This window comes from Homo sapiens, chromosome 19 (genome assembly GCF_000001405.40).
Source record: "Homo sapiens chromosome 19, GRCh38.p14 Primary Assembly".
Classification (NCBI taxonomy): domain Eukaryota; kingdom Metazoa; phylum Chordata; class Mammalia; order Primates; family Hominidae; genus Homo; species Homo sapiens.
The window spans coordinates 48,296,392-48,324,148 of NC_000019.10; the positions used below are offsets into that span (position 1 = coordinate 48,296,392).

The window sequence follows — 27,757 nt, forward strand, 5'->3', positions numbered from 1 at the left end:
GGGAATCGGGACAGGGTCACAGATTACCCCCAGGCTGGAGGTAGAGGAAGCAGCCATGGCTGAAGCCAGCTCTCCACACATATACTTTATTTCCACAGTCCCATTTTCCCATGCTGAACCTGGCGTCTTCGCCCTGACTTTTCCCACACCTGTCAGCACTGGGGGGCTCTTGGGGAGTAAGGAGCTACAGAGACAGGGACACAGGATGCGTGGAGAGCCTGGGAGATGGAGATGAGGAGAGAGAGCCGGAAACAGGAGGTGGGGGATCCACAGGGGGCCAGGGCTCAGCAGACAGGGAAGGGGCAGATATGGAGACAAGACGGACAGACACTGACCAGGAAGCCCAGAGAACAGGAGATCAGGAGTCAGAGGGAAAAGCAGTGTCAGGAGCAGAGAGAAAGGAACCGGGAGACACAGGTGAGGCGGTGATGAAGGGCAGATGAAAACAGTTGAAGGGGCAAAAAGACAGAGGCCTGCCACTGGGAGAAAAAGACAGAGACCCACAAGGCAAACAGGGGAAGTAGAGACACAAAAAAAGACCCCACAGAGAGCCAGGGCAGGGTGGGGGCTGCGTGCCCCTCGTGTTAGCCCCGGGAGTCTTTGCTGGTGGAGGAGCCCGGGCCAGTGCTGGAGGCAGGGCCGGTGCTGGAGACGTGGTCTCTGCTGGACCCGAGGCCTCCGCTCGAATCAGACGCTGTGCCTCCGCTCTCCACACCACCCTCTGTGTTTTCTCCGCCCCTGCTGGACCCCACGTATCCAGTGGAGCCCAGGTAGCTGCTGGCGCTGACGGGTCTGAAGGTCACGTGGCCCCCACTCGAGGCACTGGTGGAGCCGAAGGTCACGTGGCCAGTGTTGGGGTCACCGTGCGTGATGTGGCTGGGCAAATGCCCAGTGCTGGAGCTGAGGCCGCCAAAAGTGACGTGGCCAAGAGAGCCACGGTCTCTGCTAGTCTTGTGGCTCAAAATGGACCCGGGGATGGCATGGGGGTGCCTGGTGGGCACCAGGACGGTACTGGAGCCGGCCCTCTGGGTGCTGGCCAGGTCCACGCTCAGGGTGCCGTCCAGCTTCGCGGCGGCGGCGGCCAGGTCCTTCTGGCGCTGCGCCTCCGCCTGCTCCTGGAGCTCCACCTGCAGGGAAGGTGAACTGGGCCCCGACACACACTGAGGCCTGGCCCCACCCCCGCAGGCCCCACTCTCACCAGCTTCTCCACTTGGCTCAGCAGCTCCTCCCTGCTCATGGGGTAGTCATCGCTGGCCTCAAAACCCGGGGGGTCTTCTCTGGGGAGGGGAAGGAAAATTGGAAAAGACTAGACCTCAGCCCTCAAAAAGGCCAGCGGCCCTTCCTGCTAAACCCCGGGAGCCTCAGCCATTCTCCCACCAGCCCCGAGTGCCCTTCCCTTCTGGGGCACCCGGGGCCCCATCCTCCCACACAGGTGCCAAGCCCCTACTCCTTCTGGCTGCCTCGAAGCACATACTTCATATTCTAACCCCCCAGGGCCACATCCGCCAGCCAGTCCCCAAAAGCCCCCCAAAACTCTCTATCCTGTGTGTTCCCTCTGCCCCCATGGAAGCCCCGTCCCCTCTGCGTCCCTCCTGCCCTGCGCCTCACAGAGTGTCAGGGGGCTGAAGTGGGGCCATCTTCTTCGGAAGGTCCTCCAGGCTCTGGCCCAGCACTAGGAGGGCAGCGTCGGCCAGGGAGGTGAAGCTCTGGAGAGTGTGGGAGCCTGCGGTCAGCTGGGCCACCCCCGAGACCGGCCTCCTGTCCCGGCTCCCTGCCGTCTCCCACCTGGGCATGTAGGAAGGCCTGCACTGTCAGGAGCTCCACCAGCCGCTTCTCAATGAGGCTCAGGAAGAGGCCCATGTCCCGGTCTCCCATGCTGGTCTTGACCCCAAGGAGGTCATCGATCATGCTGCTGTCGCAATGGGCCTTGGTGAAGAGGAGCTGGATATCTGCGTCATGGAGGGCCGGTTGTCAGGGATCTGGCACCGCCAGCTGGGTGCCAGCCCTCTCCCCACTCAGGTCCTCACTGCCCCATTCTACAGAGACTGCGGTCAAGGCTCAGAGACCAAAAGGGAGTCACCCGAGCTCAGCCAGCCAGGCAGGGGGACGGCACTGCTGTGCATCCCTCTCTCCCTGACTTGTCCTTCAAAGTCAGCCTCAAGTGTCACTGCCTCCAGGAAGCCTTCCCAGTGACCCCAGCAGAGCCAGCCTCATGAGTGTGAGATCCAGGCAGTGGTGAGGGGCCTGCACTTGGCTTGACACGCTGCTGCTCTTCCTATCTTGAAAATCTCAGCAATTTTTTAACAAGGGGCCCCTCATTCTGCACTGGGCCCCACAAATTATGGTCTTGCACCCCAGACTGAGTTAGGGCCTTCTCTCGCCCCCAGTGCCTGGGCGTCCTCTGTCCTAGCCCCTGAGTGATGAGTGCCCAGTGCGCAGGTCAGTCCCCTCCAGGGCCTCTCCCCACTGTGCCCACATCACCTAGCACAGGGCTCGGATCAGCCATCACGACAGCAGGAAGGAGGACCTGCCCATATCTGAGCTCCTACGGTATGCCCCGAGGAGGCTCTCCAGCTCGCTCCCCACCACCCCCCACCTTTCTCTCCATCCGTCATCCCTTCTAATTCTCATGACAACCCTGCAAAGTAGGCACTGCCATCCCCATTCCCAGAGCGGAAGGAGGAAGCCACACACCAAGGTTCACAATTGGTGGAGCTGAGATTCAAACCCAGGACAGGCTGGGTGCAGTGGCTCACGCCTGTAATCCAGCACTTTGGGAAGCCAAGGCAGGCAGATCATTTGAGGTCAGGAGTTTGAGACCAGCCTGGCCACCATGGTGAAACCCTGTCTCTACTAAAAATACAAAAAAACTAGCCGGGCATGGTAGTGCAGGCCTGTAATCCCAGTTACTGGAGAGGCTGAGGCAGGAGAATTGCTTGAACCCGGGAGATGGACGTTGCAGTAAGCCCAGATCACACCACTGCTCTCCAGCCTGGCTGACAGCGTGAGATTCCATCTCAAAAAAACAAATAAAAGCTAACAATAAATGTTTTAAAAAAGAGAAAAGAAACAGGACAGCCTGACTCCTGAGTGCTCTGCATGGCTACTTCCTGAAAAATAAGAAAGATGAGGCCCGGCGCAGTGGCTCACACCTGTAATCCCAGCACTTTGGGAAGCCAAGGCGGGTGGATCACCTCAAGTCAGGAGTTTGAGACCAGCCTGACCAACATGGCAAAACCCCCCTCCACTAAAAATACAAAAATTAGCTGGGTGTGGTGGTGTGTGCCTGTAATCCCAGCTACTGGGAGGCTGAGGCAGGAGAATCGCTTGAACCAGGAGGGGGAGATTGCAGTGAGCCGAGATCGTGCCACTGCACTCCAACCTGGGGAACAGAGCGAGACTTTCTCAAATTTTAAAAAATAATAATAATAATAGAAAAAAAGGATGCACAGGTGGATGCAACATACCCACAGAAGGGATTAAAAAAAAAAAAAAGAAACTCAGCCAGGAGTGGTGGCTCATGCCTATAATCCCAGCACTTTGGGAGTCCAAGACAGGAGGATCACTTGAGTCCAGGAGTTCAAGACTAGCCTGGACAACATAGTAAAATCCTATCTCTAAAAAAAAAAAGGGCCGGGCACAGTGGCTCATGCATATGTAATCCCAGCACTTTGGGATACTGAGGCGGGCAGATCACCTGAGGTCAGGAGTTTGAGACCAGCCTGCCAACATGGCGAAACCCCGTCTCTACTAAAAATACCAAAATTAGTTGGGCGTGGTGGCGGGCACCTGTAATCCCAGCAACTCAGGAGGCTGAGGCAGAACTGCTTGAACCTGGGTGGCAGAGGTTGCAGTGAGCCGAGATTGTGCCACTGCACTCCAGCCTGGGCAAAAGAGCGAAATTCCTCTCAAAAAATAAATAAATGAAAAAAATCTAAAAAAATTTTTAAAAAGGAAACTCTAGACCCCTACCTCATACCATAATGCAAATCAATTTGTCATAAGTCACAGACTTCAATGTGGGAGTTCAAACAATGAAACTTCTAGGAGAAAACACAGCATAATGCCTTTGTAACCTCAGGACAGGCAAAAATTTCTTAGGCAGGCCACAAAGTCATTAACTACAAAAAGAAAATTTCATAAATTAGATATCCTCAAAACTAAGAAACTTCAGTTCATCACCAAAAAAAATGAAAAGGCAAGCTACAGTATAAGAGAAAATATTTACCAAAAGTCTAGTATCTAGAATATACAAAGAACTCCTTCAACTCAGTTATAGCAAGACAAACCCAATTTTTAAAAAAACAAGTGCACAAGATTGAACAGGAACTTTACAAAAACATCTGAATGGCCAATACGATGCTCAATATTATTAGTCACCAGGGAAATGCCAATTAAATTAATAGAGAGAGTACGGCACACACGTTAGATGGCTAATATTAAAATGGCTGACGGCCAGGCACGGGGGCTCACGCCTGTAATCCCAGCACTTTGGGAGGCCGAGGCGGGCAGATCACGAGGTCAAGAGATCGAGACCATCCTAGCCAACGTGATGAAACCCCGACTCTACTAAAAATACAAAAATTAGCTGGGCGTGGTGGCGCACACCTGTAGTCCCAGCTACTGGAGAGGCTGAGGCAGGAGAATCGCTTGAACCCAGGAAGCGGAGGTTGCAGTGAGCCGAGATCATGCCATTGCACTCCAGCCTGGTGACAGAGCAAGACTGCATCTCAAAAACAAAACAAGATAAAAAATGGCTGACACTAGGAAGTGGTGGAAAAGGTGTGGATCATCGGGGACTCCCATATGCTCGCATAGGTGAGAGCATAAAATCTTGCGACCAGTGTGGAAAACTGTTCGGCATTTTCTAATAAATATCAACATATACCTACCCTAAGACCCATCGGTCCCACTGCTAGGCATTTATAGACAGAGATGTACATGGATGATCCATGGATGAATACTGGGTAGATGGATGGATGGGTGGATGATGGATATGGGACAGTTGGAGGGACAGCATCTGTTTTTTAGTGTTTTGTGAAACAAGTGGAATAATGCATAAGTGCCTTGCACAGTGAATGACACATAATAAACATTGCTATTATATTTTATCATCATTTTCTTTACAAATAATAACATTTTTGGTAACTAAGACTAAGAAGAAATTTGGTAACTAAGACTAAGAAGAAATTTGGTAACTAAGACTAAGACTAGGAAGACAAAAGTCAAATGTCATTGCAGATAGATGGATGAACAGATGGATGTGGGGCTGTTGGAGGCAGATGGACAGATAGACAATGGATGGATTGATGGACATGGGACAGATGGAGGGATAGACCCTGGATGGATGGATGGACATGGGACAGTTGGAGGGATAGACCCTGCATGGATGGATGGACATGGGACAGTTGGAGGAATAGATCCTGGATGGATGGATGGATGGATGGATGGATGGATGGATGGATGGATGGATATACGGACAGATGGATATAGGACAGATGAAGGGGTAGATCCTGGATGGATAGATATGGGACAGATGAAGGAATAGACCCTGGATAGATAGATGGATATGGGACAGATGGAGGTATAGAACCTGGATGGAGAGATAGATATAGGACAGATGAAGGAATAGATCCTGGATGAATGATGGATACAGGACAGTTGGAGGAATAGACCCTGGATGGATGGATGGATGGGTGGATGAATGGATGGATGGATGGATGAATGGATGGATGGATATAGGACAGATGGAGGGGTAGGTCCTGGATGGGTAGATAGATATAGAACAGATGAAGGAACAGACCCTGGATAGATAGATGGATATGGGACAGAATGGAGGGATAGACCCTGGATGGAGAGATAGATATAGGACAGATGAAGGAATAGATCCTGAATGGATGATGGATATAGGACAGTTGAAGGGATAGACTCTGAATGGATGGATGGATATAGGATAATTGGAGAGACAGACGTTGAATGGATGGATGGATGGATGGATGGATGGATGGATGGATGGATGGATATGGGACAGTTGGAGGGATCAACCCTAGATGGATGGATGGATGCATTGATAGATGGATGGATGGATGGGTGTAGGACAGTTGGAGGGACAGATGATGGATGGATAGATGGACATGGGACAGTTGGAGGGATAGACCCTGGTTGGAAAGATGGACAGATATGGGGCAACTGATAAGCAAGTGAACCAGGTTGTCCATGCAATGCCTCCAAGCCCCGCGGGCTGATGGTGTCCTTCCAAGTGGAGAAGCCAGGCTCGGGAGGGGGCGCCCATGGGTGCTCACCAGCCTTGAGCTTCTCCAGCTGTCCCCGCACATCCTGGAAGCGGGCCTCAAGGCGCTCAGCCTCCGAGTGCACCTTGTCCATGCGCTGCTGCAACACCTTCTGCTGCTGCTCCTGCAGCAAATGCTGGTCATCCTTGCTGGCACGTGCGCTCACCAAAGCCTCCTGCATCTGTGGGGACAGGGCTGAATGCTGGGCCAGATGGCAGCCTCGGGAGTTGGGGGTGTGGAGCTAGGAAGAAGCAGGAGGCAGGCTGAGGGAGGGAAGGGGGCGGGGAGGCCGGGAGGAGAGGAGGAGATGGAGAGGGCAGGCCTCACTCACCTCCTTGATCTCTTCCTGCACATGCTCCAGCTCCAAGTTCTGCTCGTTGATGAAGTTGAACTCAGCAAAGTTGCGCTCCTCGACTGGGAGAGTTGGGCAAGGCGGGGCCCAGAGAGAGGGAGACAGAGAAACAGAGACAGAGAGAACAGAGACAGAGAGGCATACAGAAGGCCAAAGAAAGTGAAGATGAGGAAGGCCACACAGAAACCAAGGCAGAGAGACGAACAGAGAGGAGTCACAGAGACAAAGAGGTGTGGGAAGATACGGCAGGTGGGACACAGAAATACACAGCAAGGCAGAGAGGGAAAGCCAGAGACTCGGCAATAGCAAGGGAGATGGGGAGATGCAGGCGGGGAGAACGGTAGATATGGGTAAGGAGAGAAACAGAGAGGGACAGGGTTGAGGGAAGGATGTGGAGAGTGACCCCAGGCCCAGGAGTTAGGAGGGGGTGGGGAGGGGCAGAGACAGGGCCACGGTAAGACGCCAGTGGACGCGGGCGGCGGGTCCCAGGCATGACGCCTTGTTCCTCCAGCACAGATGGAGGAGTTCCCCAGGGCCAGAGCTGAGGCCAGCCTGCACTGGACTCAGGGGGTGCCGGGGTCCCGGGCCTCCTCCCTCCACCCAGGGCCCCACTCACTCTCCAGATACTTCTGCACCAACAGGTCAGGGTCACTCTCCCCCATCAGCTGGGACAGTTTATTCAGGGCGTCCTCGTAGCAAAGCACCAGCCTCTCCTGGGAGGTCTTCCAGACGCCCTCGGCCACCTCCCCGGCTAGGGGAAGAGAGAACAGCAGGTCGGCCTCCTGGGTGGCCTCCAACACAGAGACCTCCTGGGTGAGGGGGAGCGAAGTGTGGTCCCACCTGGGGCACGAAGGTGTGCTGCAGGTGCCCCAGGGGCGGCCAGGCCCTTGAGATGCAAAGGCAGCAGCCCCAGCCTCACCCTGCTTTTCACGCTTCTCCAGGACATCGGGATCCGGCTGCCGGTCGTTGTTCTTGAGCTTGAGGAAGTGGTGCAGCTGCTCCAGGTGCAAGATCTGCCGCTGCAGGACCTGCGCCTCCATCTCGCTCTGGGCCTCCTCTTTCTCCGCGCGCTCCCGCAGCAAGCCCATCTTGGCCTTCGCCTCCTCCCTGCGGGGGTCAGCCGGGGTCAGGATGACTGGAGGCTGGACTGGGGTCGGCCTGGGGTCCTGGGGATGGGCGGGGTCAGCCAGAGGTTGTGGGGGGTGAGGTGGAGTCAGCTGGTGTCCCAGATGGGCAGGGCCAGCCTGGGGTCACAGGAATGGGGCTGAATCAGGTTGCAGTTATCCTGTGGTCACAAAAAGCAGAGAACTGGCTGGGCACGGTGGCTCAGGCTGTAATCCCAGCACTTTGGGAGGCAGGAGGATCACCTGCAGTCAGGAGTTTGAAACCAGCCTGGCCAACATGGTGAAACTCCATCTCTACTAAAAATACAAAAATTAGCCAGACCTGGTGGTGCATGCCTGTAATCCCAACTACTTGGGAGGCTGAGGCAAGAGAATCGCTTGAACCTGGGAGGTGAAGATTGCAGTGAGCTGAGATCGCACCACTGCACTCCAGCCTGGGTGGCAAGAGCGAAACTGTCTCAAAAAAAAAAAAAAGACAGAAGCAAGAACTTCAAAAGAGTGCGACATCATATTAGAAACACAACACAAAACTCTCGGTGTGCTGCTGGCTCACGTTCTTTCAGCAGCCTGCTCTCCTCATCCTTCAGAGTGTACTGTCTCTCTCTAGGTAAACTCTCTGTTCTCTATTTGCCTTCAGTAAATTCTCTTTGTTGGCTAAATCAGTCTCTTGGCAGAATTCTTTCTCCCAAGTAAGACTAAAAAGCGAGGATTCCTGTACTTCCCGGTGGCAGGTAGTTTTCCTTTTGGAGTGATGGAAATATTTCAGATCTAGACAGAAGTGGTGCGGTTGCACGGCCCCGTGAATGTACTAAATGCTGCTACATTCTACGCTTTAAAATGGTGAATTTTGCCACGTTTGTTTTAACAGAGAGAGAGAAAGAGAGAAATCACAGAGACCCTAAGGCCGACCCAGGCCACAGCTGATGTCGATCAGGGACCATGAGAAAACAGAAGCCAGAGAAGAACTTAGTAGAAGGTAAGAAAGCATTTGGAGCAAAAGAAGAGGGCGAAGCTGAGAAAGAGACAGGGATGGAGTGAGAGAGAGAGCATGGAGCTCATGAGAGCCCCAGAGAGGGAGAGAGAAGCCAACACCTAAAGCAGCTTCAGCTCCTCAACTCCTTACAGTGTGCCTCTATCTGAAGGTGGCCCGAGAGGATCTCTGTCCCTTGCAACCAATGCTGACGAATAACAAATTCGCCAGATGCTTCCAGGAACCCTGCTGCACTATATATGTGCTAGATGCGCTTTTTTTTTTTTTTTCTCCTGAGACGGAGTCTCACTCTGTTGCCCAGGCTGGAATGCAGTGGTGCAATCTCGGCTCACTGCAACCTCCGCCCCCAGGGCTCAAGCAATCCTCCCACCTCAGCCTCCCAAGTAGCTGGGACCACAGACACCCGCCACCATGCCCAGCTAAGTTTTTATATTTTTGGTAGAGATGGGATTTCACCATGTTGGCCAGGCTGGTCTCGAACTCCTGAGCTCAAGCAATCTGCCTGCCTTGGCCTCCCAAAGTGTTGGGATTACAGGCGTGAGCCACCTCGCCCAGCCAGTAGATACATTCTTATGTGCTAGATGGGGTCAGTAGAGGTTAATTTACATGCCCAAGAAAAAGAACAGGGCCGGTGGGGTGCAATGGCTCATGCCTGTAATCCCAGCACTTTGGGAGGCAGAGGCGGGTAGATCATGAGCTCAGGAGTTCAAGACCAGCCTGGTCAAGATGGTGAAACCCCATCTCTACTAAAAATACAAAAATTAGCCAGCCACGGTGCCGGGCACCTGTAATCCCAGCTACTCGGGAGGCTGAGGCAGGAGAATTGTTTGAACCTGGGAGGTAGAGGTTGCAGTGAGCCAAGATAGCGCAACTGCACTGTAGCCTGGGCGACAGAGCCAGACTCTGTCTCAAAAAAAAAGACAGAACAGGACCTTGCCAGTGGAGGTGGGGAACTGGTGGCGGGGAGAGAGAAAAAGGGGATATTATGGGAGAAAAAATAGGTTCTGACGTGTTTCATGAGTCCTGAACCTTCCCATCACTGCCTTATGGAAAGGTGCGTCCTGAGTCATCTGGGTCCCGCCATCCCAGGATACCCGCAGTCTCTACCTGACGGCGTAGGCAGAGGTGGAGGAGAGGATAAGGGTGCTGACCAGGTGATGCAGGTGGTGGATCTCCTGTGGGGGGAGGAGAAAAAAATCAGTGCCACTTCTTACAACCCCATTGCTCGAAGTCTTTCCTTTTGGCCCCGTGCTTCTCCAATAAGGAGTAAAGCTCTTGAGCCTTCCAAATGTGGACCCTCCTCATTAGCGACTGCCCATGAAAGGGATTTTAAAGAGGTGTGAAGTCAAATTGATAAGCTGGATCAAAAGGCTCTTTCTGTAGATAAGCAGAAACTAAGAAAATATTTAGTAACCTACGGGGACTGGGTGGAAATGAGGTGGAGGAGATGGAGAGGAAATGACGTTTCCCTAGGAGACCTTTTGGAATAGTTTGATTTGAGAACCTTGTTAATGTTTTACATATTCATAAAGGAAATTAAATCAATAAAGAGAGGAGAGAAAACTAAAACTGAATGCAAATGGAAGCAAGTGAACTTTATTTAAAAATAATAATAGGGCCAGGTGCGGTGGCTCAGGCCCATAATCCCAGCAGTTTGGGAGGACGAGGCGGGCAGATCACCTGAGCTTGGGAGTTCGAGACCAGCCTGGCCAACATAGAGAAACTCCATCTCTATTAAAAATACAAAATTAGGGCCAGGCGCGGTGGCTCACGACTGTAATCCCAGCACTTTGGGAGGCCAAGACGGGAGGATCACCTGAGGTCGGGAGTTTGAGACCAGCCTGACCAACATGGAGAAACCCTGTCTCTACTAAAAATACAAAAAATTAACCAGGCGTGGTGGTGCATGCCTGTAATCCCAGCTACTTGGGACAATGAGGCAGAAGAATAGCTTGAATCCGGGAGGCGGAGGTTGTGGTGAGCCGAGATCGTGCCATTGCACCCTAGCCTGGGCAACAAGAGTGAGACTCCATCTCAAAAGAAAAAAAAAAAGAAAGAAAGAAAGAAAGAAAGATGAAATGAGGAATGCTCAGGAAAAAGCTGGTGATATTGGAATGGAATCAGAGGTATCAATGTGAACTCACTATTGTAAAATATGTCAGCCAGGCGCAGTGGCTCATGCCTGTAATCCCAATACTTTGTGAGGCCAAGGCAGGAGAATCACCTGAGCCCAAGAGTTTGAGAGCAGCCTGGACAACATAGTAAGACCCCATCTCTACAAAACATAAATAGAATTTTAAAACATATAAAATATGTGTGCTTCCTAGCTCTCTCCAGAGGAAGGGCCTCAAAGCAATGACACCCAAGTAGCAACAGAGTCTCTTAGTGCCAGGCTGGTGGTTCACGCCTGTAATCCCAGCACTGTGGGAGGCCGAGGTGGGCGGATCACGAGGTCAGGAGATCGAGACCATCCTGGCTAACACGGCAAAACCCCGTCTCTACTAAAAATACAAAAAATTAGCCGGGCGTGGTGGCAGGTGCCTGTAGTCCCAGCTACTCGGGAGGCTGAGGCAGGAGAACGGCGTGAACCTGGGAGGCGGAGCTTGCAGTGAGCCGAGATCATGCCACTGCACTCCAGCACTTTAGCCTGGGTGACAAAGCGAGACTCCGTCTCAAAAAAAAAAAAAAAAAGAAAACGGTCTCTTAGTGCCTCAACACCTACTCTTCCCTAGAAAGAACCGGGACTCCTCAGAAAAATGGCCAACCCCAGGGATGGGGCAGAACAAGGTCCAGATTACCCAGACTATCTTCGTGTGCCAGAAAGTGAGGAAGTACTCCCAAAAAGTGATGGGGTATGTCCAAAGGCCACAGAAGCCAGCTTGAAGGGGCTCCCACTAACCAAATCTGGGGCAATTTGAATATTAAAATGAATGGCAGTTACGGATCATCATCTATAAAGTCAGAATACACTAATGCTCACTGACAACACTCAAATATACAGGGGGAGAAAGAGAAGTGTTTCCTTTTTGCTTTTTTTTTTTTTGAGACAGAGTTTCACTCTTGTTGCCCAGGCTGGAGTGCAATGGCACAATCTTGGCTCACTGCAGCCTCCAGCTCCCTGGTTCAAGTGATTCTCCTGCCTCAGCCTCCCAAGTAGCTGGGATTACAGGCGTGCACCACCACACCTGGCTAATTTTTTGTATTTTTAGTAGAAACGGGGTTTCACCATGTTAGCCAGGCTGGTCTCGAACTCCTGACCTCAGGTGATCCGCCTGCCTCAGCCTCCCAAAGTGCTGGAATTACAGGCATGAGCCACCACACCCAGCCGAGAAGTGTTTCCTTAAGGAAAATGCGATCTTATAAATGTGGGAGAAATGACAGAGTCTTTTAAATTACCCTGTTGCAGCCATTACAGTAATAACCATTCAGGGAAGAATCATTCATGGATGATAAAATTGATGGCAGTAGCTGCTGGCTGTGGCTGCACACTCCATGGAGCCGGTAGGAGCCCTGACCCTTCTGAGTTGGGATGGGAGCTCCCCGTGTGCAGCTGCAGCCACCAGAACCACAGCTGCAGACCCAGGCCTTCTGCTCCACAGAGCAGGCAGGATCCCCGCCCTCCTGGGCGGGACTACAGCTGCCCAAACTGCTGCTGTGGATCTGAGCCTCTCTGTGCTCTTGCAGGGAGCCAGGAGCAGGCAGGATCTGCCCTCCCGGGTGCAGCTGCAGCTGCCCAACCCGCAGCTACAGACCCGGGCCTCCCACTCCAGGGAGCAGGCAGCAGCCGGGGACAAGCGAGGGTCCTGCCCCTTCCGAGTTGGTGGGGTGGGAGCTCCCAGAGTGCAGCTGCAGCCACCCTCCCAACCACAGGACCTAGGCATCTCTGAAGTTCTCTGCAGCCTGTACCCTGAACGGCCCAGGAAAGCACCACCGCACCCCCCTCCCCACCCCGATCCCTGCAGGCTCGAGCGTGTCTGCTCCTGCTGCTTGGCCTCTCTCCTCTCTCACACCCACTCTGATCTCAGAGAGGGGTTGGGGTCCAGCCCAGTGCCATGAATGGCAGCAGGAGGCAGGCAGATTCCTGGGCAGAAGAGGGCAAGTACCCGGTAAGGTCCCTCCTTCAAGCCAGGGAGGGCCTGAAGGCTGGGGGCCAGGTTGCCAGTACTGCAAAATGAGTGGGGACTTGCAACGTCTCCTCCAGGCCTGCCCATGGCCACCCATGGAGCTACCCTCTCTGCTGAGAGCTTCAGAGGCCTGCAGAGACATCTGAACAATCTGCCTGCGGAGAGGAACCACCCTCTCCAGGGCCTCCTCACTGCTGATAGCTGAACACTGGACGAGACGACCTGCCTGCAGAGGAGCTGCCCCCTGCAGGTCTCCTCTGAGCTGTCCTAACACTCGGTAAAGCTCCTCTTCATCTTGCTCACGCTCCACTTGTCTGCCTACCTCCTTCTTCCTGGACACAGTACAAGAACTCGGGCAAAGGCACCACTGGCCAAGGAGGTTTCCAGCCAGAAAAGTGACGCCGTAAATATCCCGTAACAAAATGATTGAGTGAAGGTGTGTCAGGGGACAAGATATTTACACAGTCTCAGAGAATCTCCCCACAGACCACTTATTCACTACAAAAAGGAAAACTCTTCCTGGCTAGCCAAGTGATCAAAGACAACATCACTAGTCATGGGACAAGTTGACATCAGGTGCCTCCTGAGATCTTGCACAGGAAGGACACACTATCACTGCTGTGACATTCCCCCCAAAGTGCAGATGCCAAGTCTAATCATGAAGAAAGATCAGATAAACCGGCCGGGCGTGGTGGCTCATGCCTGTAATCCCAGAACTTTGGGAGGCTGAGGCGGGTGGAACACCTTAGGTCAGGAGTTTGAGATCAGCCTGACCAACATGGAGAAACCCTGTCTCTACTAAAAATACAAAATTAGCCGGGCATGGTGGTGCATGCCTGTAATCCCAGCTACTCAGGAGGCTGAGGCAGGAGAATCACTTGAACCCGGGAGGTGGAGGTTGCAGCGAGCCAAGATCACGCCATTACACTCCAGCCTGGGCAACAAGAGTGAAACTTAGTATCAAAAAAGAAAAAAAAGACCAGATAAACCCATGTCAGGGGACATCGCACAACACAAACGGCCTGGATGCTTCCAAAATGTCAACGTCATGGAGAAAAAAAAGCCCAAGGGACTGACCCAGATGAACAGAGCCAGAACAACCAAATGCAACGTGAGATTCTGGACCGGAGCCTAGAGTAGGAAAATCAAGTTCACTGTAAAGGACATCACTGGGACAATCAGTGACCTTGACATATGGACGGTTTAGAATTCTAACAATGTTAACCTCCCTGACTTGGATAACAGCACTGTGTTTATGTAAGGAAATGGCGTTGTTCTTAGGAAATGCTCTCTCAAGTACTTAGGAGCATAATGTCTACAACATATTGTCAAACAGTTCAGCATTCAGGATAATAAATTATTCTCAGCAAAACAATAATTACACACACCAATAGTAAGAGTGGGGGAGAAAGAGAAAATAAATGTGGCAAATTATCAAACTGGGTGAAAGATATATAGGAGTTCTTTGTATAATTCTTGCACCTTTTTCTGTAATTTGAAATTATTTCCAAATGAAAGTCAAGACCGGACGCAGTGGCTCACGCCTCTAATCCCAGCACTTTGGGAGGCCGAGGCAGGCGAATTGCCTGAGCTCAGGAATTCAAGACTAGCCTGGGCAACATGGTGAAACCCTGTCCCTACTTAAAAAAAAAAAAATCGGCCGGGTGTGGTGGCTCACGCCTGTAATCCCAGCACTTTGGGAGGCCGAGGAAGGCGGATCACGAGGTCAGGAGATCGAGACCATCCTGGCTAACACAGTGAAACCCCATCTCTACTAAAAATACAAAAAATTAGCTGGGCGTGGTGGCAGGCCCCTGTAGTCCCAGCTACTCGGGAGGCTGATACAGGAGAATTGCTTGAATCTGGGAGGCACAGGCTGTAGTGAGCCAAGATCACTTCACTGTGCTCCAGCCTGGACGACAGAGTGAGACTCATCTCAAAACAAAGAAAGAAAGAAAGTCAAAAGAGAGGGGACAGGGCTGGTTCTTCAAAGATCCCCGTGGAATGTATAATAAATGGTCTTGCTTGCTCATAGATTGCCCTGGGTGATACTATTCAGAATGACATTCTGCTTTCTACAACTATAAATGAGGCCACTTTTTTGTTGGAAATGTCCTCCAACATTTCCCAGGCCTCCATGCCTTTTGGACTAAAGCAAGCCTACCGCTCTAGTCAATCCCATACTTGAGGCCTGAGTGCTAGAGCAGGAAGGGCAAACAGCTGTGGGGAGGACCTGCGCAGGGGTCCCTGTCTCCTCCCCTGGATTTCAGGGCCACTGACCTTCTTCAGCTTGCGGTCCACGTTCAGATAGCGGTTCCTGTCGATCCGCAGCAGATCCAGCTCCTCCCGCAGGGCCGCATTCCGTACCAGCTGGTTGTCAAAGTGACAGGTGACCTGGGAGTAGAAAGGTGGATGGAAGAGTGGGTCTGAAGCCAAGTCTGCCTGCCTCCTCCAAGCTCAGCCAAGGAGGAGACACTTATCAGAGGTTGGGCCGGCCTGTTTCCTGAGAAACAGAGGTTCTTTGGGGTTCCCGAAATCAATGTCCACTCCCCTCTAAGGACCCATCATTCTCCTTTCCTTGGGAACCTCCATCCCTCCAGAATCCTGTGTCCTGACACATATGTGCACACACTGCCCAGCATTTCCAGAATCCAATGACCATGCCCAGTTCTTCCCATAACCGCACAATTCAGGTCGAGGGACCAGGAGTTTGACCCTCACCCTGTCCAACTGGTTTTCTAGGATCCTGATCCTTCGCCTGATCTTGACCTTCTGATCCAGGATGAATCCCGGGGACCTGACATTCTTACTGTGGGTAAAGATCCGCGTCTCCCACTCCTGGATCTACAAGAAAGAGGATGGTACCTGTTTTTGGTTGCCTGAATGTGGGAGAGATTGAATGGCCCAGGGAAAATGAGTCACTAAGCATGGCAAACATCTGCTGTCCCTGTCACCCCAGAATAACATCTACCCTTCTGCTGACACTATCCAGCCCTCCATGTGGTTCTGGTGGGCCTTCCAACCACAGTGTATCACCCTATCAGCCACATGACCCAGGTCTGGACACTCACAGGGATTGGCCTAGAGATGGGAATGTGACCCCATGGAGCTAGCCTGACTCCTTTCCGTTTTTTTTTTTGTTTTTTTTTTTTTTTTTTTTGAGACAGAGTCTTGCTCTGTCTCCCAGGCTGGAGTGTGCAGTGGCGCGATCTTGGCTCACTGCAACCTCCACCTCCCAGGCTCGAGCAATTCTAGTGCCTCAACCTCCCGAGTAGCTGGGATTACAGGCACGTACCACCACACCCAGCTAATTTTTGTATTTTTAGTAGAGATGGGGTTTCACCATGTTGGCCAGGCTGATCTTGAACTCCTGACCTCAAGTGATCCACCCGCCTTGGCCTCCCAAAGTGCTGGGATTACAGGCAAGAGCCACTGCACCCGGCCCTGACTCCTTTCCTGATAGTCTGGGGGAAGCACATGAGATGGAAGGATGGGATTCCAGGACTTCTCCTGTCATGGCCCCACCACAGGGAGGGTCCTGGGAGAATGAGGCCAGTGGACAGAAGTGGAGATGAGAGTCGGAGAGACGGTGAGAATGAACTTGATGACATTAGTAGCCCTGGGTCTGCTTATGCCTAAGACCAGCTTCCAATCTGTCCTCATTTCTGTATTCATCTGTACTTATTGGGGTGTGCTCTGTCTCTCCCAGCAAACTGGGGGTTCCATGAGGACACAGAGTCTTGTGTTTTCTCCCTGTCCGAGACAAAGAAGGTATTCAACATAACATGCAGACTAAATAGATAAATGAATTGCTCAACACTTCAATTTGTGCTCTGTTATGGGTTGAATCATGTCCCATAAAAACTCATATGTTGGCCGGGCACGGTGGCTCACACCTGTAATCCCAGCACTCTGGGAGGCAGAGGTGGGTGAATCAGCTGAGGTCAGGAGTTCAAGACCACCCTGGCCAACATGGCGAAACCCCACCTCTACTAAAATACAAAAATTAGCAAGGCGTGGTGGCAGGCACCTGTAATCCCAGCTACTCGGGAGGCTGAGGCAGGAGAATTGCTTGAACCCAGGAGGAGAGGTTGCAGTGAGCTGAGATTGTGCCACTGCACTCCAGCCTGGGGAACAGAACAAGACTCCATCTCAAAAAAAAAAAAAAAAAAAACCAAAAAAAAACCTCACATGTTGAAGTCTTAACCCCCAGTACTTTAGAATGTGACCTTATTTGGAGACAGAGTCTTCATAGAAGTAATTAAAATGAGGTAATTAAGGTGGGCCCTAATCCACTACGACGAGGTGTTCTTAGAAAAATGGGAAATTGCTGGGTGTGGTGGCTCATGCCTGTAATCCCAATACTTTGGAAGGCTGAGGCAGGATGATCTCTCGAAGCCAGGAGTTCAAGACCAGCCTGGGCCACAAAGCAAGACCCCATCTCTACAAGATACAAAATAAATTAGCTGGGCATGGTGGTGCACACCTGTAGTCCTAGCTACTTGGGAAGCTGAGGTGGCAGATCCCTTGAGACAAGGAGCTCGAAGCTGCAGTGAGCTGTGATTGAGCCACTGTACTCCAGCCTGGGTGACAGAGGGAGATCCTGTCTCAAAACAAAACAAAACAAAAAAGGAAATTTGGACATAGATACGCACACAGGGAGAATGCCACGTAAGGATAAAGACAGAGGTCAGGTGTGGTGGCTCACGCCTGTAATCCCAACACTTTCGGAGGCTGAGATGGGTGGATAACTTGAGGTCAGGAGTTCGAGACCAGCCTGGCCAACATGGCGAAACCCCATCTCTACTAAACATACAAAAATTAGCCAGGTGTGGTGGCACATGCCTGTAATCCCAGCTACTTGGGAGGCTGAGGCAGGAGAATCGCTTGAACCCAGGGGGTGGAGGCTGCAGTGAGCTGAGAGATTGGGTGACATGTCTACAAGCCAAAGTACCCAAGACTGCCAGCAAACCGGCAGAAGCAGAGAGAGAGAGGCATGGAACAGACAGATTCTCCCCCACACTGCTCAGAAGGAACCAAACCTGCCTACATCTTGATCTTGGACTTCTGGCCTTTGGAACTATGAGAAAACATATTTTTGTTATACGAGCCACCCAATTTGTGGAACTTTGTCATAGCAGCCCTAACAAACTAATCCACGTACCAAAGATACCCCAGAAGGCTGCAGCAAACTTAAGACTCAGCATGAGGATGTTTTAAATTTTTGAGGAAGACCTTGATATTGGTCAGATACCACATGAACTGCTAGCTTAAGGCAGTTCACAAGTTCAACATGAGAGGGCGCTATCATCCTTTTGAAGATGTCACATCTTTGTGAGACTGGATTTTCAGCAGTTGCTGCAATAAAAGCCAAATACCCAATTGTTGGTGGGCGCAGTGTCTCACGCCTGTAATCCCAGCACTTTGAGAGGCCGAGGCGAGTGGATCACCTGAGGTCAGGAGTTTGAGACCAGCCTGGCCAAAATGGTGAAACCCCATCTCTACTAAAAATACAAAAATTAGCTGGGCGTAATGGCACGTGACTGTAATCCCAGCTACTCGGGTGGCTGAAGCACGAGAATCACTTGAGCCTGGCCTGGGAGGTGGAGGCTGCAATGAGCCGAGATTGCACCACTGCACTCCAGCCTGGGTGACTGAGCGAGACTCCACCTCAAAAAAGAAAAGAAAAAGAAATGTCCAAAATGTTGACACTGGGGGAAAATGCAGCAAAGTGTACAAGGGATGTCTCTGCATTATTTCTTTCAACTGCACATGAATCCCAACAAAATTTTCTTTCTTTCTTTTATTTTTTCTTTTTTTTAGAGACAGGGTCTCACTCTGTCACCCAGGCCGAGTGCAGTGGCACCATCATAGCTCACTGCAGCCTCCACCTCCCAGGCCAGGCTCAAGCAATCCTCCTGCCTCAGTAATTGCTTTATGAAAGAAGAGATGACATACGGTAAAACTGCACATATTTAGTGTTCAATGTGGGATGGGCACGGTGGCTCACGCCTGTAATCCCAGCACTTTGGGAGGCTGAGGTGGGCAGATCCCCTGAGGTCAGGAGTTCGAGACCAGCCTGGCCAACATGGCGAAACCCCGTCTCTACTAAAAATACAAAATTAGCCAGGCATCGTGGCAGGCACCCGTAGTCCCAACTACCCAGGAGGCTGAGGCAGAAGAGTTGCTTGAACCCAGGAGGTGGAGATTGCAGTGAGCTGAGACTGCGCCACTGCACTCCAGCCTGGGTGACAGAGCGAGACTCCATCTCTAAATAAATAAATAAACTGTGTAATTGTTATGTTTTGACATAAAATAGTGAAAATATCCATCGCCCCTAAAAGTTTCCTCATGCCCTTTTGTATTTCCTCACCTCATCCTCTTCCTGCAGTCGAGTCTCCCCCCAGCAATCACTCATCTGTTTTCTGTCACTATAGATTGGTTTGATTTTCTAGAATTTTATATTAATGGAATTGTATAGTAAGGACTCTTTTGGGGATCAAAGGGGTATCTGGTTTCTTTCACTCAGAGTAGTTATTTTGAGATTCACCCATGTTGTGTGTATCAATAGCCGGTTCCTTTTATTCATGAGTCACATTCCATTCCATGTATAGACCACAATTTGCTCGTCCACTCGACCACCGATGGACATTTGGGTTGTTTCAGTTTTCGATTTTACAAATCAAGTTGGGTTGTTATGAATATTCATGTACAATTCATTATATGGACATGTGCTTTCTTTCCTCTTGGCTAAACATCTAGGAGTGGAATGTCTGAATCATATTGTCAAGTATACGTTTTGTTTTTTGGCAACTGCCAAACTGGGCCAGGCACGGTGGCCCACACCTGTAATCCCAGCACTTTGGAAGGCCGAGGCAGGTGGATCACTTGAGGTCAGGAGTTCAAGACCAGCCTGGCCAACATAGTGAAACCCCCCATCTCTACTAAAAATATAAAAATTAGCTGGGAGTGGTGGCACACACCTGTAATCCCAGCTACTCAGGAGGCTGAGACAGGAGAATGTTTGAACCCAGGAGACAGAGGTTGCAGTGAGTTGACATTGTGCCATTGCACTCCAGCCTGGGTGACAGAGCGAGACTTCGTCAAAAAAAAAAAAACAAACCTGCCTAACTGTGCAAACTGTGTACCAAAAGTAGTGTGCCATTCCACATTCCCACCAGTGGAGTATGAGAGTTCTGCTTCCTCTACATCCTTCCCGCAACACTTGGTATGGACCGTCTTTTTAATGGAGTTTGGGAAAGTTCTTAATATATTCTGGATACAAGTTCTCTATCAGATACGTGCTTTGCAGATATTTTCTCCCAGTCTGGACCTTGTCTTTTCATTCCTTGCCTTTGCCAGTTTCTGCAGATGGGATTCCTTGACTTGGGGACTCCTTACCTGTGGCCGCATCACTGGTTTTTGTTTTTTAAAGGGGTTCCGAGCCAGGCACAATGGCTCACGCTTGTAACCCCAGCACTTTGGGAGGCCACGGTGAGTGGATCACCTGAGGCCACGAGTTTGAGACCAGCCTGGCCAACATGGCAAAACCTCATCTCTACCAAAAAATACAAAAATGAGCTGGGCTTGGTGGCACGTGCCTGTAATCCCAGCTACTCAGGAGGCTGAGGCAGGAGGATCGCTTGAACCTGGGAGGTGGAGGTTGCAGTGAGCCAAGATCCTGCCAGCCACTGCACTCCAGCCTGGGTGACAGAGCGAGACTTTGTCTTGAAAAGAAAAAGAAAGTGGGTCTCTCTCTGTTGCCCAGGCTGGAGTGCAACGGGGCAATCACAGCTCACTGAAGCCTCAAACTCCTGGGCTCAAGTAGCTCTGCCCCCTCAGCCTCAAGACACGCACCACTGTGCCCAACTGACAAATTGGTTTTTTCAATGAAGGCTAGACCAGAATTTAGCAGAATGAATCCCACATTAAAAAATGTATATATATATATATATTATTTGCTGAAACTTCTGTTTCAGATATATTAATATATGTGTGTGTGTATATCTGTATGCATCTTGGTGTGTATGAACTACACCTCATGAGTCATGGTCATAAAAACTTGACAGATCACTGGCCTAGAAAAATCACATTGTTTGCAAGGTCAAATAGCAAGGTCCCAAAACAGATGGGATTCGCAACCTGTCTAGACTGTGGCATTACCACCGTCCTTGTTTGCAGATGAAGAAACTAGGGCCCAGAGAGGGGAAAACCTGCCTGCCCCCGATCACAGAGCTCCGATGGCAGAGCCAGGACTCTAATGCAGGTTTTGGGGACTCTAACATGCGAACCTTTCCTGCTTAACCACACCAGTCCTGTTTTTGAATGCCTGGGACTGTGCTAAAGCAGCAAACATCTATGTTTCCACTGAACACAACTCTACCAGATGGATGCTTTCAATAGCCCCGATTTTTTTTTTTTTTTGAGACAGAGTCTTGCTCTGTCAACCAGGCTGGAGTGCAGCGGCGCGATCTTGGCTCACTGAAACCTCTGCCCCCCGGGTTTAAACGATTCTCCTGGCCGAGCACAGTGGCTCACGCCTGTAATCTCAGCACTTTGGGAGGCCGAGGTGGGCGGATCACAAGGTCAGGAGATCAAGACCATCTTGGCTAACACAGTAAAATCCTGTCTCTACTAAAAATACAAAAAAAGTAGCCAGGCCTGGTGGTGGGCACCTGTAGTCCCAGCTACTCGGGAAGCTGAGGCAGGAGAATAGCATGAACCTGGGAGGCGAAGCTTGCAGTGAGCCGAGATTGTGCCAATGCACTCCAGCCTGGGCGACAGAGCAAGACTCCGTCTCAAAAACAAAACAAAAGAAAAACTATTCTCCTGCTTCAGCCTCTCGAGTAGCTGGGATTACAGGCATGTGCCACCATGCCTGGCTAATTTTTGTATTTTTTGTAGAGATGGGGTTTCACCACGTTGGCCAGGCTGGTCTTGAACTCCTGACCTCAAGTGATCTGCCCGCCTCAGCCTCCCAATGTGCTGGGATTACAGGCATGAGCCACTGTGCCCGGCCTAATAGCCCCAATTTCACATGAGGAAGCTAAGGCTCAGGGAGGTTACAACACTTGCCCGTAAGCAGGATCCGTAGAACCACCTCTCAAACCCCACCTGCTTGTCCAGGGCCCTGGTCTGCTCCTGCAGCTCCTCGATCTCCGCCTGCACCTGGGCCCGGCCCTTCAGCAGGCGGTCCATGTTCTCCAGCCGCTGACTGTCCCGAAGCCGCTTGACCTGGTTCTGGGCTGCGCTGATCTGCACCTGGAGATCGCCCCGTACCTCCTCCAAGCGCCGGATCTCCTCACTACCCAGGCAGGGAGGTGGAAGAGGGGCCAGTAAGGGGGCAGAACTCAGCATCACTAAAGGCAGGACCCAGGAGTCCAGTCTTCAGCCCCTCTGACCCCCTCCTCCCCAGCTCAGGGCCCAGGCGCCCAGCTCACAGTTGCTTGTTGATGCGCTGGTGGACTTCCTTGCTGTAGGCCCGCCTCTCCCCTTCCATCACTTTGCATTGTCGCTGCAGCCTACTCAGCTCCCAATCCACTGAGAACAGGGCCAGCCAAGGGACTCAGCAGGGATCCTGGCCACCAGCTCCTCCCAACCCAGGACCTAGGAATTCTGCTCCCTTTGGGGTCTCACAAACTGCAACTGAACTGCAGATCCAGCCCCCAACACCCCTCTAGGAATGCACCTCAGTTCCGGGATCCCTCGAGCTTCCTCATCCCTTCATACCCAAAACTGAACTCAGGGTTTTTTTCCCCTAAAACCCACTCCCATCCCACCAGAGGGCACTTCTGGAAGGCCTCTGGGTCTTCTGGGACCTGGGCACACCACCTGGAATTGGGAAGGCTCTTGCTCCCTCCCTCCTTTTCTGCCCCACCATCAGCAGCCCTCAGCCCCATCCTCTTGCCTCCTCCCTCTCTCAACCCATCCCCTGGGCTCAGCCTCATCCTCTCCTACCTGGACCATCACCCCAACCTTTCTCTCAACTTCCAGCCTTCCTGCACAGTCCCAGAGGGTCTCTCTACACCCACAGCCAACCCTACCCCACCCACAGCAGACCCTACCCCTCATAGGCCTCCCATGATGCCCCAGTACCTGCAGGACAAAGTCTCAGCACCTCAGCCTGGGATCCCAGACCCCAAGTGACCTGACCTTACCCACCTCTCCAGTCTTGCCCGTATGCTCCCCATCTCCAAAGGCCCAGTAGTTTTCAATCAGCGGGTGATTCTGCCTTCCAAAAACATTTGGCAATGTCTGGAGACTTATTTTTTTCTAGACAGGGTCTCGCTCTGTCCCCCAGGCTCTAGCGCAGTGGCACAATCTCAGCTCACTGCAGCCTCCACCTCGCAGGCTCAAGTGATCCGCCCACCTCAGCCTCCCGAGTAGCTGGGATTATGGGTGCACGCCATCACACCTGGCTAATTTTATTTTATTTTTGTAGAGATGAGGTCTCACTGTGTTGCTCAGGCTGGTCTTGAACTCCTGGGCTCAAGTGATCCTCCTTCCTCAGCTTCCCAAAGTGCTGGGATTACAGGCATGAGCCAGCATGCTCAGCCTAGAGACATTTGTCATTGTCATGACTTGTGGAGAAGGGAGGGGGCTACTGGTATCCAGTGAGTAGAAGCCATGGACACTGCTTGGCATCCTACGACACACAGGACTGCCCCCACAACAAAGAATTATCCCACCCCAAGAGTCAACAGTACCAAGGTTGAGAAAGCCTACTCTAGCCACATTCTGTCATCTCTGTAGAAACACCCTTCCTTCCTTCTCCCCTTGGCAATTCCTACAGGGAGTTCTGGGCCCCACTCAAACTTCTGCTGCCTGAAGTCTCCAGCCTGCCCCACTGCCCAGGCTTGGCCCACCCACCGTGGTGCCCGCCCCGCCTCCCTTAGGGCGCATGTCTGTTCCCACCAGAGGGCGCTCCTGGACAGACACTCTCCCTCCCTCCCTACAGGACCTGGAACTTGGGAAAGCTGGGGGCTGGAAAAGAATGGGTGAATGATATAAAGAATGAATGAATTACCCATTCCCTCCAGAAATGCCTCGCTTCCCTCCTCGGAGCGGGCGCTCCCTGCCAAGCGTCCCAAAGGCATCCTGGCCAAACAGGGTGGGGCTCCTGTAGGGATGGACATATAAGACCCTTCAGACAGCAGGCGGGCCAGGGCCCAGAGAGGGTGGACAATGAACTGCGAGGGACTGGGAATTGAAAGGGGGTGACCCTAGAACCACGCTGGCCTCATTCCTCCAAGAGGGGTTGGAGGGGGACCTCTCTCAGGCCTCTCCCACACCTCTCCAGCCCTCCCACCTCTCACACTCTGGGTCTTGCGTCTAGGCTCCGATTCTGGCGCGGGTTTGGCAGGGGACAGGCCTCCTGGGCTCTCAGGATATCTGAGGCCAGGCTGTTTGGTCGCAGGAGAGGGGGAAACCCCGGCCTGCTGTAGTGGGGGTTGGGCAGGGTCGGGGGAGTCCTGGGCCCTACCTGCCGACGGGCCTGACCTGTTCTTGGTGCTCCAAGTTCAGTGTTGTGGTCTGGTTACTGGGGAGATAAGGGACCAATGAGGACTGAGGACAGCGGCCAGGGAGGGACTGAGGCCGCGGGAGAAACTATGGGAGGAGGGGCGGAGAAGGATGCGAGGCGTAGACCTGCAGGGTTCCCACGGACTGAGAACTGATGGGCAAGGCCAGGCGCGGTGGCTCACGCCTGCAATCCCAGCATTTTGGGAGGCCGAGGCGGGCGCATCACTTGAGGTCACGAGTTCGAGACCAACCTGGCCAACATGGTGAAACCCCGTCTCTACTAAAAGTACAAAAAATTAGCCGGACATGGCGGCTCGTGCCTGTAATCCCAGCTACTCAGGAGGCTGGGGCAGGAGAATCGCTTGAACCCGGGAGGCGGAGGTTGCAGTGAGCCGAGATCCCGCCACTGCACTCCAGCCTGGGCGACAGAGCGAGACTCCGTCTCAAAAAACAAACAAACAAACAAACAAAACTGATGGGCGGCGAGGTCCTGAAAGGGGCGGAGCCGGGAGGGCCTGTGGAGCGGTGCTGCGGAGCCCTGAGAGGTGCACGGCTGTGAGGCCTGAGAGGGGCGTGCCGTAGGGAGCTGTGATGGGCGGGGCTGAGACCTGTGAGGAGAGTGAGTGGGAAGAACTTCGAGGGGCGGGGCTTCGGGGCCGGCGAGGGGAGGGGCACGGACACCAGTACAGGACGGGGCTTCGCAGACAGCGAGCGGAGGGGCTTCCCCGTAAGGGGCGGGCTTCGAGGGTCGCGTTTGGAAGGCCTTACGAGGGGCCCGGTGGAAGGGCGGTGAAGGGCGGGCTAATCGGGAGGCGCTCAGGCCTTGAAGGCCTGCGGGAGGTCGAAATGGTCCTGGGGAGGTCGAGGCTGAGGTCTCACTAGTACCGCGGGCCTGGAAGCGGCGGGAGTTGAAAGAGCCTGCGGTGACCTGTATGGAAGCCCTCGAAGCCAGGCCGAGGTCCTACAAGACGGAGCCCGAGAGGTGCCGGTCTTAAGCTGACTGTGACCACGTTAAATTAAGGATTCATAGGAAGGAAGGCGGTGTCGAAGCCGGGAGTTGCGCGGAGAAGGAGCGCTCAACACAGCCTCAGCGGTTCACTACGCAAGCGCGACCAACGGCTTCCCGGGAAGCAGCCAAAAACGCTTGGCCGCCTACCACGTCCGCGCGCTGGAGGGCGGAAGTGGGTGAGACCTCGGGCACTCCATACCGCCCCCCGGTTTCTGGCCACGCCCCCTCTGGTTACACCCACTCGCTCTGTAAGGCACGCCCCCTCCGCGGCGGCGGCTGCTGCCCACGTGGGCCTCCCCGGGCGGGCGGGCAGTGGGCGCCTCTCCCTGCAGGCTGGGTGTGCCCGAAGCCTGCGGTTTCCTGTGGGAGGAAGCGGCCTGCGTACGCTCAGCTCAGCTCATAATCTCGGAGGCCCAGGATGGGGAGATCCCGCCGCCACCCTCAGATCCTTTGATTCTTCCCCTTCTACATAGCCATAGTGCGGGGACCCCCCTAATATCCCCAGGGTACCCAAGCCTGGCGCCGATCCCACTCAGGGAACTTGATTCTGAGTCCTAGACTCGTGTTTTTCACCTCCCCGGCTCAAGTTTCCATCTTCCTAGCCCCTGGCTCCCCCTAGTCCTCTCAAGAAAGTGGAGCCCTCTTTTCCTGCTCCCCAAGAGGAACGTATGTCTCCCCAGCCCCTAATTTTTCCTTCAGTGACCCAGACTTTGCAACTTCCTTAGGGATCTGAGTGCGGACCCCAGTTTCTGTCTCTCAGGCACTTAAGTTTGAGACTACTTATTCTCCCCCAGGGACCCTCATTTTGGATTCCCAACTTTAGCCTTGAGACCCAATGGACCCAAGAATTTGCCCCTTCCCCAACTCCTAGAGATCCTGAATCAGGGTCCCCCAGTACTGACTCCACTCAGAGCCCCAATGCCTGATATGACTAGCACTACCCTAAGAACTGCCCTATAATGTATTTACTATTATCTCTATTTTTCAGATGAAGAGACTGAGGCATAGAGAAGTTATTAGTAACTTGCCAAAAATTACACAGCCATTGAGTAAAACAGCTTGGATTTTGAGTCCAACCAGTGTGGCTCTAGAGTCTGTGCTATACTGGTATTCCAGCTTCCAGGTCTTGGGGTACCCAGCCAAGCACTGAACTGTCCATCCCTCACCCCCTCAGGGAGCCCGAATCACCAACAGCTATCCCAAACCCAGCTCTGGCCCATCAGATACCCAGACATCCCATCATCCAGTTCCCTTCCCTGGATCCAGGATTTGAATTCCCCTGCTCTCAATTTATCAGAGTTCTGGGCACCTGGTCCCCTCCCAAGAGACTCGTGTACATAGTAGTCATCACCCCGACCCTAATTTAATATCCCCAAAATTAATAATAATAGTTAACAGTAAACCTTTGGGGCCAGGCACAGTGTCTTACGCCTGTAATCCCATCATTTTGGGAGGCCAAGGCAGGCAGATCACTGGAGGTCAGGAGTTCGAGGCCAGCCTGGCCAACATGGAGAAACCCCCGTCTCTACTAAAAATACAAAAATTGGCTGGGCGTGGTGGCGGGCACCTGTAATCCCAGCTACTCAGGAGGCTGAGGCAGGAGAATCGCTTGAACCGGGAGGTGGAGGTTGCAGTGAGCTGAGATCATGCCACTGCACTCCAGCCTGGATGACAGAGCAAGACTCCATCTCAAAAAAAAAATAAAAATCTTTGGTACTACACTCTGTTAAAACCTAATGGCTTTCCACTGCACTTAGAATGAAATCCAAGCCCCTCCCCTAGTCTTCAAGGGCACCCTTTGATTTCCCTTCTCACCACTCCCTCTGTCTCCCTGTGCTCCAGCCACACTGGCCCTTCTGTCTGCTCCCTAAACAACCTGAGCTTGTTCTCAAAAGCTTTAAGAGCTTTTGCACTTCCTCTCCCCCCGACGCCCCCCCACCACTCCCCAACCCCAGCGTTCAAATGACTCCTGTCTTCAGCTCAAATGTTACCTCCTCCAAGAGGCCTTCCCTGATTTTCCTGTTTCAAGTAGTCTTCCCTGCACTCTGTCATTATCTCCATCACTCTGTTTGATTTATTATTGTATTTATTTTTCTTTTCTTCTTTTATTTTTTTTTTTCTTTAAGATGGAGTCTTGCTCTGTCACCCAGGATGGAGTGCAGTAGCGTGATTTCAGCTTACTGCAACCTCCGCCTCCCGGGTTCAAGCAATTCTCCTGTCTCAGCCTCCTGAGTAGCTGGGTTACAGGCGCCCACTACCATGCCTGGCTAATTTTTGTATTTTTAGTAGAGACAGGGTTTCACCATGTTGGCCAGGCTGGTCTTGAACTCTCGACCTCAGGTGATCC

At 52.4% G+C, this 27,757-nt stretch overlaps 1 protein-coding gene and 1 long non-coding RNA gene across 3 annotated transcripts, besides 13 other annotated features; one reads left to right on the top strand and one right to left on the bottom strand.

The window, feature by feature from the left end:
* Positions 61–25,580, bottom strand: ODAD1 (outer dynein arm docking complex subunit 1). 2 transcript variants are annotated; one of them, NM_001364171.2, is made up of 16 exons: positions 25,287–25,580; positions 24,381–24,420; positions 23,908–24,000; positions 22,322–22,421; positions 21,996–22,185; positions 15,603–15,725; positions 15,162–15,275; positions 9,865–9,932; positions 7,562–7,749; positions 7,259–7,393; positions 6,622–6,704; positions 6,303–6,471; positions 1,786–1,949; positions 1,609–1,706; positions 1,199–1,277; positions 71–1,127 (listed from the first exon to the last, which is right to left on the bottom strand). In NM_001364171.2, the coding sequence occupies exons 3-16, from the start codon at positions 23,975–23,977 to the stop codon at positions 585–587; spliced, it is 2,124 nt and encodes a 707-aa protein (NP_001351100.1). In that variant the 5' UTR covers positions 23,978–24,000; positions 24,381–24,420; positions 25,287–25,580; the 3' UTR covers positions 71–584. The 2 variants fall into 2 exon arrangements, with proteins under 2 accessions (NP_653178.3, NP_001351100.1); NM_144577.4 differs by lacking the exons at positions 23,908–24,000; positions 24,381–24,420; positions 25,287–25,580 and adding an exon at positions 23,043–23,108 and having other exon boundaries at positions 61–1,127.
* Positions 749–1,266: an enhancer, noted in NCBI's record as "H3K27ac-H3K4me1 hESC enhancer chr19:48800397-48800914 (GRCh37/hg19 assembly coordinates)". NCBI's record gives its function as "activates a minimal SCP1, AML or CMV promoter by ChIP-STARR-seq in primed H9 embryonic stem cells {active_cell/tissue: H9 hESC(primed)}" and the evidence as "EXISTENCE:reporter gene assay evidence [ECO:0000049][PMID:30033119]".
* Positions 6,933–7,457: an enhancer, noted in NCBI's record as "H3K4me1 hESC enhancer chr19:48806581-48807105 (GRCh37/hg19 assembly coordinates)". NCBI's record gives its function as "activates a minimal SCP1, AML or CMV promoter by ChIP-STARR-seq in naive H9 embryonic stem cells {active_cell/tissue: H9 hESC(naive)}" and the evidence as "EXISTENCE:reporter gene assay evidence [ECO:0000049][PMID:30033119]".
* Positions 7,458–7,981: an enhancer, noted in NCBI's record as "H3K4me1 hESC enhancer chr19:48807106-48807629 (GRCh37/hg19 assembly coordinates)". NCBI's record gives its function as "activates a minimal SCP1, AML or CMV promoter by ChIP-STARR-seq in naive H9 embryonic stem cells {active_cell/tissue: H9 hESC(naive)}" and the evidence as "EXISTENCE:reporter gene assay evidence [ECO:0000049][PMID:30033119]".
* Positions 11,960–12,650: an enhancer, noted in NCBI's record as "H3K4me1 hESC enhancer chr19:48811608-48812298 (GRCh37/hg19 assembly coordinates)". NCBI's record gives its function as "activates a minimal SCP1, AML or CMV promoter by ChIP-STARR-seq in naive H9 embryonic stem cells {active_cell/tissue: H9 hESC(naive)}" and the evidence as "EXISTENCE:reporter gene assay evidence [ECO:0000049][PMID:30033119]".
* Positions 12,651–13,340: an enhancer, noted in NCBI's record as "H3K4me1 hESC enhancer chr19:48812299-48812988 (GRCh37/hg19 assembly coordinates)". NCBI's record gives its function as "activates a minimal SCP1, AML or CMV promoter by ChIP-STARR-seq in primed H9 embryonic stem cells {active_cell/tissue: H9 hESC(primed)}" and the evidence as "EXISTENCE:reporter gene assay evidence [ECO:0000049][PMID:30033119]".
* Positions 23,621–23,915: an enhancer, noted in NCBI's record as "tiled region #8297; K562 Activating DNase unmatched - State 5:Enh". NCBI's record gives its function as "activates a minimal TATA promoter and a strong SV40 promoter by Sharpr-MPRA in K562 cells {active_cell/tissue: K562}" and the evidence as "EXISTENCE:reporter gene assay evidence [ECO:0000049][PMID:27701403]".
* Positions 24,965–25,084: a silencer, noted in NCBI's record as "silent region_10875". NCBI's record gives its function as "represses an Ori minimal core promoter by ATAC-STARR-seq in GM12878 lymphoblastoid cells {active_cell/tissue: GM12878}" and the evidence as "EXISTENCE:reporter gene assay evidence [ECO:0000049][PMID:35858748]".
* LOC124904735 (uncharacterized) lies at positions 25,077–27,131 on the top strand. The gene is made up of 2 exons (XR_007067284.1): positions 25,077–25,586; positions 26,399–27,131. It is a non-coding gene; the product is annotated as an uncharacterized LOC124904735 (long non-coding RNA).
* Positions 25,195–25,434: an enhancer, noted in NCBI's record as "active region_14879". NCBI's record gives its function as "activates an Ori minimal core promoter by ATAC-STARR-seq in GM12878 lymphoblastoid cells {active_cell/tissue: GM12878}" and the evidence as "EXISTENCE:reporter gene assay evidence [ECO:0000049][PMID:35858748]".
* Positions 25,441–25,735: an enhancer, noted in NCBI's record as "tiled region #73; HepG2 Activating non-DNase unmatched - State 8:EnhW, and K562 Activating non-DNase unmatched - State 1:Tss". NCBI's record gives its function as "activates a minimal TATA promoter and a strong SV40 promoter by Sharpr-MPRA in HepG2 and K562 cells {active_cell/tissue: HepG2 | K562}" and the evidence as "EXISTENCE:reporter gene assay evidence [ECO:0000049][PMID:27701403]".
* Positions 25,441–25,844: a biological region, named in NCBI's record as "Sharpr-MPRA regulatory region 73".
* Positions 25,555–25,844: a silencer, noted in NCBI's record as "silent region_10876". NCBI's record gives its function as "represses an Ori minimal core promoter by ATAC-STARR-seq in GM12878 lymphoblastoid cells {active_cell/tissue: GM12878}" and the evidence as "EXISTENCE:reporter gene assay evidence [ECO:0000049][PMID:35858748]".
* Positions 25,955–26,014: an enhancer, noted in NCBI's record as "active region_14880". NCBI's record gives its function as "activates an Ori minimal core promoter by ATAC-STARR-seq in GM12878 lymphoblastoid cells {active_cell/tissue: GM12878}" and the evidence as "EXISTENCE:reporter gene assay evidence [ECO:0000049][PMID:35858748]".
* Positions 26,025–26,084: an enhancer, noted in NCBI's record as "active region_14881". NCBI's record gives its function as "activates an Ori minimal core promoter by ATAC-STARR-seq in GM12878 lymphoblastoid cells {active_cell/tissue: GM12878}" and the evidence as "EXISTENCE:reporter gene assay evidence [ECO:0000049][PMID:35858748]".

What these genes read in the sequence shown, in the direction of transcription:
- ODAD1 (NM_001364171.2), bottom strand. Translation starts at nt 23,977, where the DNA reads ATGCCTTTGGGACGCTTGGCAGGGAGCGCCCGCTCCGAGGAGGGAAGC. An exon ending in TGCAGGAAGAGATCAAGGAG is followed by an intron (nt 6,472 to 6,621) that starts GTGAGTGAGGCC and finishes CTGTCCCCACAG; the next exon opens with ATGCAGGAGGCTTTGGTGAG. An exon ending in CTTCAGCCCCCTGACACTCT is followed by an intron (nt 1,278 to 1,608) that starts GTGAGGCGCAGG and finishes TCCCCTCCCCAG; the next exon opens with AGAAGACCCCCCGGGTTTTG.